At 36.2% G+C, this 12,912-nt stretch overlaps 1 protein-coding gene across 4 annotated transcripts in view; it reads right to left on the bottom strand.

The window, feature by feature from the left end:
- Positions 1–12,363, bottom strand: part of SCN2A (sodium voltage-gated channel alpha subunit 2) — a 152,891-nt gene extending 140,528 nt beyond the window's left edge. For 2 of the 4 annotated variants that reach the window (NM_001371246.1, NM_001040142.2), the window contains exon 1: positions 12,137–12,363. The gene's annotated coding sequence lies outside the window, so the exon portion shown is untranslated. Of the gene's footprint in view, positions 1–6,328; positions 6,448–10,662; positions 10,718–12,136 lie in introns of those variants that run through there. The other 2 variants (NM_001040143.2, NM_001371247.1) reach the window with 2 other exon arrangements.

Here is a 12,912-nt window from a genome sequence, read left to right as displayed (position 1 = left end):
GGAGATTTTAATTGAGAGATTAAAACAAAAAAGGATTATTTACAAAGGTATATTAGGGTTAAGGAAAAGAAACAAAGCAGAGTGCACCCCAAGGCTAGCAGCAGCAGGAGGCAAAAAGAGGAAATAATAATTAGAATCAGAGGGAGTAGGGGCCACTTGGCAGGAGTTGTGGTGTTTACATTCAACCACAGTAATCTGGCAGGGAAGGATCTGGGGAATAAATGCCCTTACCTCACTCATGGCATAGAGAACTTAAACCACACAAGATAATCGTCACTGGGCCAGAAGAGACCTAACATATCAACATACGCAGCACTTTGCATGAAATTCCTGAGATAAAATATCATCACGCTATATTTGAACGTGTACTTGTAAAAATACACCCTTTGACTTTTTTCTTTTATTATTTCTACACATATTATCGTTTCTTTTGTTTTGTTTTCTACCACCACGACTCTCACTTGAATCACAGATGTTCCATTGGTTCTTACCACCTATTATATTAGAACATCACAAATACTTGTCCTTGTCTATGAGCCACTCAGCAACACACTTTGTTGTTGTTGTCTGGTTGGTTGGTTTGGTTTGGCTAGATTTTGCTTACATATTCCTGAGTCCATCTTTGCTACTTGCTGTAAAGGACACTAGGTTCTGAAACGTTTTCCTGTATTTGTTAGAAACATTGTCACTAAAACTAAAATAGTATATACTGAATTATAGTCAGAAACCATCACATCTTTTAGAATGTTTTGAGTTGTAAAATATATTTAATATTATATTAAATCATATTTTGTTCTGTTGATTACTCCTTATGGTCTTTAATAATAAGCAGATTTTTTTGGTTGAGTCAATTAAGGTCAGAAATCTGGGAAACCAGAATCTCAGAAAAATGATGAAGAACATGGGATCAAATTTGTTGGTAGTTAAGGCAGTATCTCAAATCATTCTACAATTCAGGTTTTGAAATTCCTGCAAAAAACACATTCCTTGCCATCTCAATGTCAGAAGATCACTGCAACCTACATTTTATCCTTTCCTATAGCAGCCAGGTCATTGTATTTTATAAGCTGCATTCTTGACGATAGATAGATAATAATGATGTGGGGAAGTTAGGCTGTGTATATGTGTGTGTACATGTTCGTGTGACTATTGTTGGTTAATCTGTTATTGGTTGTAAAAATTACTCATGGAGTTAGAGAGCTCCTTGTGAACAAGATTTGGAAATAGAGATTTTTTTTGTGTGTATATGTGTGCCTGTGTGTGTGTGTGTGTGTGTGTGTGTGTGTGAAATAGAGCAAGAGGGCACCGTTTCCCTAAATTATAATTATTATTTACATTTCTGTTAAAATTTTCTATATACTATATCCATATCATTTTACAAATCACCATAAAGTCTACTCAAACAAACACTAAATTTAAAAGCTATTAAAGGCAGTTGTATTAAAGCAAACTATTGAGAGCTATTTTAATAGGTCACTTGAAGTAGGACATAGTTATGTTGTAAAACTAAGAAATTCCAATAGTACCTTGATTGAAGTTTTAAATGAGTAGAGCTCAGCATATGTATTACCTCCTATGGAGGGCAGTATATGTAGATACTGGGTAGCTTGATAGAACCATACAAAACAATATCTGTCCTTATATAGTACACAATTAAATATGACAGATGACCCAGGTCCACATATATCTGGCTACTTCACATTACAAGTGTAGAGATAGGTGCAGAGTAGAATGGAAGTATATGCTGCATGTGAAAACAGAGAGAACATTATAAAGGAAGTGACGTTTGAGTTAGATTTGATTAGGACAAAAGTTTATATACATTTCTGAAGCAGAGATTATTAAGAAAAATTCACTGAAATCCTGGAATCTATGGAGGGCAGAAATATATTCAGTGGAATTTTTTTTCAGTATATGATTATGTGGAAAGTGATCAATTTTATCATAGCTAGTTAGCATATTTATATTAGATAAGACTTTCTATAAATCAAGTAGTATAGACATTAGGTGGTAAACAATGGAAAATACTTAAGCTGAGATTTAGAACAAAACATGCTTGAAGACTCTTTAGGAGAGTTAACTGGGTGGCTTCCATTAGATCTTGGTGATTTATATAAACTAAGGTAGTAAATAATTTTATTACACTTAAGGGATTGAAAACACAAAACGATGAGGTCAATTTTCCCAACTGAATTGAGCAGGAAAATAAATAACATTCATTGTCCCTTATTCACTAAGCTAAGGCGTGCTTCTAACTGAAACTAAAAACAAAACATTTCCAAGAAATCTGGCATTGTTAGCATTATTTCAATTTATCTTTAAAAAAAGAGCATAATTAACTTCCTGTGATATGGTCACTAGAGATTAGACAGTGAGAATACTGCAATGATTAAGTCCTGGACAAAATAACTAGCTTTATCACATCTGTAAAATGAGACCAGTGCTTTGCTCCACACGGTTGTAAGAATTAAAGCAACCTACATAGCGAAAGCTCAGGACACAGCATATGCAGGACCAGTATTAAATTTTAAGTGTATGCTCATCCTATGACTAAAACAGCATATTTGTAAAACTTCTTATGTGCCAGACATTGAGTGTGGTATTTGGGAGACAGATATGATGACCAAGTTCCTGACTTTGAGGAGCTCACAATCTAGAAGATGAACAAGCAAACAAAGAACAATGAAGTCACAAGAGAAAAACATTAAATGTCATATATATCAGGAAAAGGTCTTCAGTAACTATTAATGATACATTTACTGTCATTTAAGGTTTGATTTTATAACACTAATATGCATTTTATTTCTATTGGTGTAAATACTGAATGAAAAATCAGGCAGATTGCACTGGGTCATTTGTAAATGTGAATCAGCCCAATAAAGTGAAAGAGAAAGCATGGTGCCCCTTAGTATGCTTAAAGGAATAAATTTAAGTTTCTAAGATTCATTATTTTATTCTACAAACATTTTTAGTCTCTTCTATAGATCAGGAAGTGTTCTAAGCATTTGTGAAACATCAGTGCACCAAACAGATGATAATCTCTGCCCATTTGGGGCTTAAATTACCAACAAGAGAAATGCAATGTATACAGTATGCTATAATGTGATGTGTTAGAAGGGAAGGAAATAAAAGAAAGGAAAGAAAAGGAAAAAAAGAACAAAGCAAAGCAAATGATAACAAAGAAAAGAAAGTATAGAAGAATGTGGGAGACGATAAGAATGAAGTTAGAGGAAGGGGGCTGAGATTTTTAAATGGGATAGTTAAGAGTAGGTATTATTTAGAAACGACATTTGAGCTCAGATTTTAAACAGGTGAGGAGGTTAGTCATGCAAGTGCCTGAGGCAAAAGGTTTCTAGGCAGAGGAAACAGCCCAAAGGATTGAAGTGTTCCTGCAATATTCAAGAAATAGTGAAAGTGAATGAGGGAAAGAAAAACTGGAGACAAATTCAGAGAAATACTGTAATGGGATGGAGACCAGGCTAAATAGAGACTTTTTGGAAATTGTCAGGTGCCTTTTACCCTGAGAAAACTGGATATCACTTGCAGAATTTTGAGCAGGGATGTGGCGTAATCTTACTTCTGTCTTGCCGTATTGAGAATAGATTGTAAGGAGAAGTAGAAGAATAAAGTCCAATTAGGAAATTAAGGCAGAAATCCATGAGAAACTTGATGGTGGCTTGAGCAGGGTAGCAGTGTGAAGGTGGCAGCACATAGATCCTGGGTATATTCTGAAGTTGAAATCAACAGGAATTTCTCATGGACTGAATGTCAGATATAAGAGAAAAAGAATAATCAAGGATGATACTAGAGTTGTTAGCCTGAGGATGAGGAAAACTAGAGTTATCTCCTGAAAAAAGTAAGGTGGGGAAAGCGAGGATTGGAGCAGGTTGGTTGGGAAGAACTATCCGAAATTTAGTTTAGGGATGTTAACTTTTCAGTGTCTTCTAGATATCCAAGCCAAATAAGCAGTTAGACACACAAGTTCAGTTTGGCAGAAAACTGGAGGTAAATATTTGGATGTCATCATGATTTATATGGCATTTAACGCCATAAAACTCAATGGGATCAAAAGAAAGTAGATAAAGAAGAAAAGAAAATCAGGGACAGAATCAGGGACACCCAAATAATGAAGTCTGGGAAGGCAGAGTAAAGAGTAAAGTGACTGTGAAGGAGTGAACAATAAGCTAAGAGAAGAGTCAAAATTGTGTGCTATCCTGAAATCCAACGGAAGGCAGTGTATCAAGGGGGAGACAGCAATGAACTGTCTCCAATATTGCTGGATGGTCAAGTAAGATGAAAGCTGAGGATGGACTGATGAATTTGGCAATAGGGTGGTCATCAGATTTCTATCAGGAGCTGATTTGGTGAAATGGTAAGAGTAAAAACTTGACTAACGTAAATTTAAAAGAGAATAGAAAGAGAGTCATAGATACAGAGAATACAGCAAACACTTTCATTAAGTATTATTGCAAAGACAACAAAAAATAAAAAAAAGATAGTTGAAGGAAGTAAAAAAATTCAAATACAAGAGCAATAATAAAATGCTTGTATGCAAATATAATAAAGAGCTAAAATTACTAATGCAGGAGAGACAGAGAAATAAAATGCTCTAGAGATGCCCTTGTGTAAGTAAGAAAGAATAGGATCTAGTGCACAGATGCAGGAATGATTTTAGATAGAAACAGGGATAGTTGATTTAAGGTAATGGGTGGGAGGTCAGGTTATGTGGGTGCAGAACCTGGTAGGAAGGCACATGCAGTGATAGAAACCTGTGGGGAAAAATCTCTCCTGATTGTTTCAATTTTCTCACTGATTTAGGAAACAAAGTTGTCAACTGAGAGTGAGGTCAAGGTAGGAGGTATTGGTGGTTTGAGGAGAAAAGAAAGGGTATGAAATCTAAGTACAAGAACCTGGGAGAGTAAGTGATCCAGGGACATGTGGCATGGTTGCTGGGCATCAATCTAGGGACATGTGGCATGATTGCTGGGCATCATGAAGGACCCACTTTTGCATGCGTCCAGCTGCAAAAGTGCAGGCAGGAAGTAAGGTGGGAACTGAATATGAGGATGAAGATTTAGCCAGACAGTTACCAAAAAACCAACCAAACAAAAAAACACTGAGCGGAGGAGTTTGTGAGGTATGTATGTATATACAAGGAGTGACTTTTATGAATAACTGTGGAATTTATCTAATGAAAGGAAAGAGGACATTTAGTGAGAGATAATCAAAGTATGACGAGATCAGTGATTTAGAGGCCTGGTGGGATTAAAGGAATGAATTGGAGTTGTAGATGAAATGCGCTAGAAAGGTGGTGTAGGATGTATGAAGGAAGGATTATGGGCAGGCCACAGTTACTGGCCATGAAGAGTTTCAAGATAAAACCATGGGAGTGGATGTCTGAAGAAGGGTAAAAAAAACATGATCATTGGAGGAAAATAATTTAACTACTTTACAGGATAGTCTGTTAAGAGGCCATACATATGCATATTGACATTACCAAGATTTGGGTATAAAGTGCCAGTGGAGAAAATTCCAGTGTTCTTGGAGCTAAATTCCTATCTTCTAAGGATTACACATTCATGAAAACTCCTTAAAAGATGCATACCCAAATGTGGAAATAATTTGAATCCATATTTTATCCTGCTTTTGCTTTTATATTTGAATAGATTTATGATGCTGTGAGTCTAGGTTTGTAATAACAGCATAATTTACTAACAGTTTTTTTTTGCACACAGTTGAATTCCCTGGGAAGTCAGGCTTAACATTATTGGAGTGACATCATTCCTGGTGATATAACTAAGGATTCAACAAGAATCATTAGAGATTTCGGTTGATGGATTTATCAAGGCCAGTAATTGGAGCAGCTTAGCTGAATGCCCTTTGTCTAATTGATAGGTCATTTCACATTTTAACTTTCTAACACTTAGGCAACAAAATCATGAACAATTTAATTGAATAGACTGATTAAATGTAGAAGTTTCTTGACCCTTAGAAGTGGAGTGACTGTGCATCCCAGTTTACCTGGAACCATCTTGATTTATACCTGTCGTTGTGGAGAAATTATTAACAAACTGAATCCTGGTTTAGATGACACATTTTATGGTCACCCTGTCTGTATAACTAGGCTCCTGTCTTCTAGACTGTTAATTCAGGAAATAGTAAGTGTAGGTCTAAGCACTCCTCACAGATCCTAGCTGCCTGACAATTGCTGGGCTCCCTCATTTGCTCAATCCAGGGGAGACATAGTGTGTTAGTCAGTTCTCATGCTGCTGTGAAGAAATACCCAAGAATGGGTAATTTATAAAGGAAAGAGGTTTAATTGACTCACAGTGCTGCATGGCTGGGAAGGCCTCAGGAAATTTACAATCATGGCGGAAGGGTAAGCAAACACATCCTTCTTCTCAAGGTGTCAGGACAGAGAAGTGTCAAGCAAAGGGAGAAAAACCCCTATAAAACCATCAGATCGAGTGAGAACTCACTCACTATCACAAGAACAGCAGGAGGGTAACCACCCCCGTGATTAAATTATCTCCCACAGGGTCCCTCCCACAACACGTGGAGATTATGGGAACTACAATTCAAGGTGAGATTTGGGTGAGGATACAGAGCCAAACTGTATCACACAGAAAAGAAGGAAAATATCCTAGCTGGAAATGCTGGGCTGATACAGAGACAGCATCACCATTGCCCTGACCAGCTTGCTTCATTCCTTAGAATTTCACATTTTGATATCAGTTATTCAGAGAAGAGGGATAGTGTCAGTCTTCTCTTATCATAACATTATCATAATCTCCCTTTCTTTTTTTCATGATATTTCAAGCACTACCTTCATATATGCTTAAGAGAACTGTTGTTATTTTGTTGTCATTTCCCCATACATATCACACAACACAAGATGTAGCTGAGTAATTACACAATCACATAATTGTATACCTATTTGCTAATAACACCAAGACATGTTCATGTTCAAAGCATATTATACTCCCAACTAATCCTAGATACCAGCAAAAGACTTAACAACTTAAAACTATAAAAATAATCTAAACAATTCAAAACACTTTTTGTGGGCAATTTCTTCCTAAGATCATTTTATCCCCCTAAATGTTATTTTAGTAAGTACAAACAGTTAACTGAAATTATAGTTTTTTACCCTCAAAAATATTTTATCACATTCCAATAAATAAAATATACTTAAATACCTTTGATTCTTAAATCATTTCTCTAAAATGTTTCACTAATAAACAAAACGATATTACATGATAAGATTTTTTCATTATTATTATTAATGTAGTTAGTAATTATGTCTTCTTCCACATAAAGGTTTTGACTGAAAAGTTTAATGGAACATTACCAGAAAAAAAAATTATACTTCTGATTTGCAAAATCCACTTCTACCTCTCCTTCCACTGACCTCCAATTTCACTAAACCCAAATGGATAAAGAGGAGATAACACTAACGTATGAGTGTTATAGAGAGGTCAGCTTTTATTTTTCTTCTTTCCTTTCCTTTTCTATTTATTTATTTATTTATTTTTGACTCAGAGTTTCCCTCTATCGCCCAAGCTGGAGTGCAGTGGCACGATCTCAGTCCACTGCAACCTCCGCCTCCTGGGTTTAAGTGATTCTCCTGCCCCGGCCTCTGGAGTAGCTGGGATTACAGGCGTCAGCCACCACACCTGGCCAATTTTTGTATTTTTACTAGAGACAGGTTTTCACCATATTGGCCAGGCTTGTCTAGAACTCCTGACCTCAGGTGATCTGCCTACCTCGACCTCCCGAAGTGGATTATAAGCAAGAGCCACGGTGGCCCATCTACTTTTCATTTTTTAATAGAATTTCATCTCATATTCTTGATGCAAGTTATCTTTTCCTAATAGAAATAATATTTCAATGGCCACTATTATATTGCCAATGGTATTCATTATTATCAGCAAAATATATATATGACTCACCAACGCCTGTGCCTTCTTCAAGTCTTTCCACTGCCATTTCATGACAGGTGAATGCAAGAAAATGCATTCACCTTAGAGGAGATTGGCTCTAAGAAAGCCCCAAGAGGATTCTGTAACTGCCAGAAGAAATGGAGAAAAAAGGAACTTCTGGTAGGAAGCTTCATAAGGAAGCTAGTTCCCTAAGGGAAAGGAGCTTCCTGACATTGACTTTTTTTTTTTTTTTTTAACAGAGTCTCACTTTGTCACCCACACTGGAGTGCAGTGGCGCAATCTCAGCTCACTGCAACCTCCGCCTCCCAGGTTCAAGCGATTCTCCTGCCTCAGCCTCCCGAGTAGCTGGGACTACAGGTGCCTGCCACCACACCCAGCTAATTTTTTATTTTTAGTAGAGACAGGGTTTCAGCATGTTGTCCAGGCTGGTCTCAAACTCCAGACCTCAGGCAATCCGCCCACCTCGGCCTCCCAAAGTGCTGGGAGTAAAGGCATAAGTCACTGCACCCGGCCATGACATTGACTCTCTCTACACAAGTCCTGGTGAACGTGCTAATGAAACTGAAGGATTCAAAAAAGGAAAGAACTTGAATAATTAATTTAGATACTGGCAAACCAGCCCTTAGTAATCAAACTAGATATGTATAATAGATATGTGTTGGCCTAATTCAATACAAGTTTTAAATAGAACCTGTTTTTAAATAGGTGGTTATGAATAAGAAATTGATAACTGAAGTATGTAAAAGCTTCATGTGAAACAGTGTTATTAGTCTCCAATTCAAGAATTAATGTGACTAAAATATATTCTGCAGGAAAGTGTTTTGCTACTGAGGATTAATTATTTCTTCCAGAAAGTCCATATGCCACCAATAGCCTTTACTGAGGAACAAACTGATTTAATCAGAGGAGATACTTCATCTTACAAACAAGGATTTAATTTCGAAAAACAGGCCACCCAAAGTGAGTTACACCAGCTTTGCTCATTATCATCAACCACCCTTTCTTCCTGTGTCAAGGAAAAGCATTTTCAAACCTTCCTTCTGTCTCTTCCACGACCTTGGTGTACTTTTGTTTCTTCTTTCCTCAATTTTCTCTCTACTGACTTCATACCTTACTCTACAAAGGGCTTAGGTTTTTCTAATCTGCACTAAAGTTAAATTTCCCTCAACAGTACCTTCTTTCTCCAGGTATAAAATGTTATCTCTCCTACCTTTCCCTGGCAAACTTCTTAAAACTTAAATATACTCCCCAGATTTCTCATGTCCAATTTAGTCCTCAGAGCCCCTGTCTCTGCCATTCAACTAAACCTCTTCTCTTAAAATTAATTTATGACCTAATAATGATAACTAAATCCATCATCTTTACTCTATCCTCTTATGAACCAACCCCTTTATGGGTTTTCTATTGTTTCTGATCCCTATTTTGATATTCAATTTACCTGCTTGGCCTCCTATGATATTGTTATTCCGTCAACTTCTCACATTATTTTCACACAATTTAATAATAGTTTTCTACACTTTTTTACTCTCCTAATCTTAAGATTATGCCCCCAGTCATCTTCACTTCTCTTTTGTTCCCCATTAATGTTTAATTATGTATGACCTAATTTTGTCCCACAACTGCATGCAGATCTATACATTCAGCCTTAACCACTAATCTGATACATGGATATAACATGTTCAGCTCCTTATAAAACACCCCAGTGTATGAGTATGTGTCAGTATGTCAAATGCATAACACCAAAAGCCAAATTCATTATCCTTACTTTTACTGCCCCAGGGGAAAAAAAATAACAACTGCAACAACAACACCGACAACAAAAGCTTCAAACAGATTGGGTTATTTACCTTTCTCTACAGTTTCCCTATACGATGCCTATAGTTCTCCATTTTCTTGTATTTACTTGCCTCACCTATGTACCTGGAATAAGCAACTTTCTGTTTTTCTTTATTTATATCCAACTCACTCTTAAAGATCTAATTTAACTGTCACATCCTCCTAAAATCTTTTCCTCTGAGCCCCCCATGGACAGAAATTAACATTATTGTTTTGTTCTGAATCCCAGGATGTAACATGGTGCCTGGCACAAGATAGGTGCTGATATTCCTGTCCCATTCACTTTCTCATCTTTCTTCATTCCTTATTTTGAGATATAGTGGTATCTGCACATGTATATTTGCATGTTAACCTCCCTGAGGTAAACTCCTTGACTAATTATTTCTTTATCTCTACCATGGACACTTGGTTGGTACGTGGTATTCCACAAATATATGTAGACATGACACATTTTAATCCCTTTCTTTTCTCAAGATATTGAAGAAGTAGGGTAAAGCCTGTGCCTAGTAAGTGAACAAAGGAGGAAAGGCTTGGACATGAGATGATATTCTTATAGTTGTCAATAGATTAACCTATATGTACAATCTTTTCTATTAGGTAGGAGGGAAAGCCATGTGGCCATCCACATCATTCATGAGCATAGGGTAGAAGAGTATACACCACCTAATAATGAAAAAGGCATACTAAGAAACAGAGTTTCCATAGTTGTCATTCAGTTTTCTTGGATGCTTTGACAAGAAACCTAAGAAAATTGAGCACTGCATATAATATGCCATTGAGCAACAGTATACTGAAAGAAACTCTATTTTACAGAATATAACCAAACACACACACACATGCACACACACACACACACACACACGCACAGTGAATATCATCATACCTGGTCTATGCCATCCTGATATGTTCACACTAGAGGTGAATTGTGTTACTGCTATGGAAGATGTGGAACTGTCAATCACTGTTCTAGCCTTGCCTTATTGTAATTTAGTACGTGACTCTGGGAAATCCACCTTATCTCTCAATTACAATTGCTTTTCTTTAAATGATAATGGGGATAAATGGTTAAATATCTGTAATTCTAAAAATCTCCATGTATATGGAGCCATGTAGAACTACAAACTCTATAGATTCCACACATTTAAAAAACATGTTTTTTTCATGGTTTGTCCAAACCATTTTATAAAATCATTCCCCATAGCTTTCACAACCTCTGACATGGCAAAACTACCTCTTTACAGGAAAACAATGACTGAGATAAAAACATCCTGATGCACCTCCACCGCCTGCCACCTCCACCATCACACACACACACACACACACACACACACACACACAGCTCTTTCCACAGGAGAAAGAAGTGAGGCATTTAAAAACAATCTTACAAAACTATTTTTAAAATATTTGTAAAATCTCTTTAAATTTCTCTAAATGAAAATCAGTGGTTTTTAAATATAGGATTTCTATATGTCTTTATTCCTGTTATTCTAATAATAATCAAGCAAGGATTTAAGGGAAATCACGAGAAGCAGCAGAGAGAAGCAAGGCTGTTGCATGCAACTTCCACCTCCTGAGTCATTCCACTCTTTAACACAGATAATGTCACATGACCTAAAATAATTTAAAATGTGAGCACCTTCTATAATATCAACTATTTAAAATGGCCACGGTTCTATTATCCCAAATCCAATAAAATACAGAAAAAATCAATTTTCATGGCAATTAATTTGTGTTCAGCATACTCCTCACATCCATACTGGGGGAGGAGGGAGGGTCTATAGTCTCATTCCAAGTCTATTAAACACATTACATAAATCTTGATTCATGTGGGAGAAATGACTTACGTATTATTTCTAAGAGGTAAAAATAAAGACATAAACAATCTGTACCATCATAGCCAGCAGAAATCGTTCAAAAGGCCTTTGGACTCAGAATATTGGCTTGCCTCTGAGGCTGCAATCAGAAGGCTCAGCCCTGAGCTTTGGCAGAGCCACTGCCATGTTAATCTGCTTCATTATATCTCTACAATTTGTTCACTGCATTAAGGAGCAGTATTTCCCTTGTGAAAGGAAAACCCATCCTTCACTTTGAAAGCTTTACCTTTAAAAGGTAAACAAATACAGCCAGAGACAGAGACCAACAGCTAGAAAGCCAAAGAAATAATAAAACACGGTATGTCATAGTCAGAGCTCATTTCAGCCTAGGAAGATTTTAAATTGCACAACAGCTAGAATTAGAGCTTTTGAATCTCTTAGATCTGAATACAAGCTAACAAAGCACACATCTTATATTAAATGTCATTCTTAACATAGATAACAATCCGTGGATAAGTCAAAAATAGAATCATGCTGGCTTACCTGAAATAAAGAAAAATGTAAATCATAACACAGAATCCACGTATGTGTTGAATATAACAGTCTCCAATGCAATTCTTCAGAATTTTTACTGGAGTAGAAAGTAAAATCTCACATGTGCTCTATCCTCATTAAAGAAGAAAAAAACAAGAAAGGATGACCACAGCATCCTCCCTCCTTTGCCTTAGCTTTCTGTTCTGACAGTCATTCGATGGTACCCAATGTCTGTTAGAAAACAGCATGCTAAATTAGAAAAATAAATAAATAAAGGCAGCATCTTACATGACAGCTCCATCTCCTGGTCAAAAGTGGAACCATCTTAATTCACGTTCCTTTGGCTATGTAGCAGTCAGCACATAAAATTAAATGATGTACAGCCCATAATTCCACTCTATTTGAAATCAACTACTTTAATTAACTGTAATTTAAACATTTAAGAAGAATTATAGTATGAATTTTTAGAATTATAATTCTATTTTGGGGATTCAAATTTCTTTACATTATGTTTAAACTAAATGGAAGCTTTTCCCATCATTGAAAACTTAAGATTTATTTAACTTTATATACCATCTGAAAAAGTAATATGTATCTCCTATAAAACAATTTTAGATGTCAAGCTTATTGATAATGAACATCACATCTCTTTGTGGAGAAGTATAAGTTTTTGTCACTAGAGAAGTTAACACATAACACTTGTGTTGCTATTGTTTGGAGGAATGTTGAAAGGTTAAAGATAAGGCAGGAAAATTAAATGACTTAAAGGCAAACTTGAAAAATCT

Source organism: Homo sapiens, chromosome 2 (genome assembly GCF_000001405.40).
Source record: "Homo sapiens chromosome 2, GRCh38.p14 Primary Assembly".
Lineage (NCBI taxonomy): Eukaryota > Metazoa > Chordata > Mammalia > Primates > Hominidae > Homo > Homo sapiens.
The sequence above is the reverse complement of the archived record's forward strand: the minus strand, read 5'-3'. Positions and strand labels throughout refer to the sequence as shown.